The sequence below is a fragment of the Homo sapiens genome, chromosome 9, assembly GCF_000001405.40.
Source record: "Homo sapiens chromosome 9, GRCh38.p14 Primary Assembly".
NCBI classification, from domain to species: domain Eukaryota; kingdom Metazoa; phylum Chordata; class Mammalia; order Primates; family Hominidae; genus Homo; species Homo sapiens.
In genome coordinates, this window is record NC_000009.12 from 16,322,206 (window position 1) to 16,323,539 (window position 1,334).

General features: G+C 51.0%; 1 annotated feature.

Moving 5' to 3' along the window:
• Positions 441 to 941: an enhancer, noted in NCBI's record as "H3K4me1 hESC enhancer chr9:16322644-16323144 (GRCh37/hg19 assembly coordinates)". NCBI's record gives its function as "activates a minimal SCP1, AML or CMV promoter by ChIP-STARR-seq in naive H9 embryonic stem cells {active_cell/tissue: H9 hESC(naive)}" and the evidence as "EXISTENCE:reporter gene assay evidence [ECO:0000049][PMID:30033119]".

A 1,334-nucleotide genomic window follows, 5' to 3' on the forward strand; every position in this document is an offset into this window, starting at 1 on the left:
TTTGTATTTTTAATAGAGACGGGGTTTCACCGTGTTAGCCAGGATGGTCTCAATCTCTTGACCGCGTGACCCACCCGCCTTGGCCTCCCAAAATGCTGGGATTACAGGCATGAGCCACCGTGCCCGGCCACATATTTGGATTTTAAACCCCATCTTCACCACTCTGATAACTCTGGGATCTTGGTTAGACAAGAAAATAACTTTGAGCCTCAGTTTTTTTACCCTGTAAAATGGGAACAAGTTATTTAAGTTGCCAGTGTTTTAGTTATCTCATGCATAAAAGTAAAAGGCTGGGCGTAGTGGCTCATGCCTGTAATCCCAGCAGTTTGGGAGGCTGAGCCAGGCAGATCACTTGAAGTCAGGAGTTCAAGACCAGCTTGGCCAAAATAGTGAAACCCCATCTCTACCAAAAATACAAAAATTAGCCGGGCGTGGTGTTGCACACCTGTAATCCCAGCTACTCAGGAGGCTAAGGCAGGAGAATCACTCGAACCTGGGAGGTGGAGGTTGCAGTGAGCTGAGGTCTCGCCACTGCACTCCAGCCTGGGTGACAGAGTGAGACTCTGTCTCAAAATAAATAAATAAAGAAAAAATAAAAATAATAGCAATATCTTTGGGGTGTAGGAATTGGATAAGATAATACATAAGAAGAACTTAGGACATGCCTGACTCCACTACATTCAGTCATTAGGATGAAGATCCTGTTGCTCCCCTGTCTGTTTCCTCTTCACTGATGTTGGCCAGTGGCCCTGCCTGCTGCTTCTCCTGCCAACCCCCGCAGCGTCCTGCCCAGTGCTGGGCCCCTGCACAGCTAACTGTCCTTACTGTCCAGCACTCCTGTCTGTCCTTCCTGCTGGCCTGTGTGTCGTTCACCAGCGCCCATGTCTGGGACATACCCCCTGCATGCATTTGCACGACTTTCGGGAGCAGCCCTCTCCTAGGGTCTCCTTGAGGACCTTGGGACTGGAGCAGCACTGGGCTGAGGACAAGACCCCAGCTTAAACCCAATGTCAAGACTGAGCAACCACCTGCCAGGGCAACCCCGAGGGACAGCCGCACCTCCACAAAACTGAAGCCTCTGCATGGGAGAGGCCCAAACACCTGAGGCCTCTTTCCTGACACTGCACCCACGGAGAAGCTTCCAGAGGCTTTCCATGGGCCCTGCCTCCAGCCACAGCCACAAGCATTCCTTGGCATGCCTTTCACAGGCTCTCCCCGCCATCCATTATCTATGGAAATGTAGAAGTGGACAGACATTGCTCCTGAGCCTTTTTCCAAAGTCAAGGACACTGAGGCAAAGTGGTAGGAGGGGGAATAAGCTGGTTTGGAGGAGT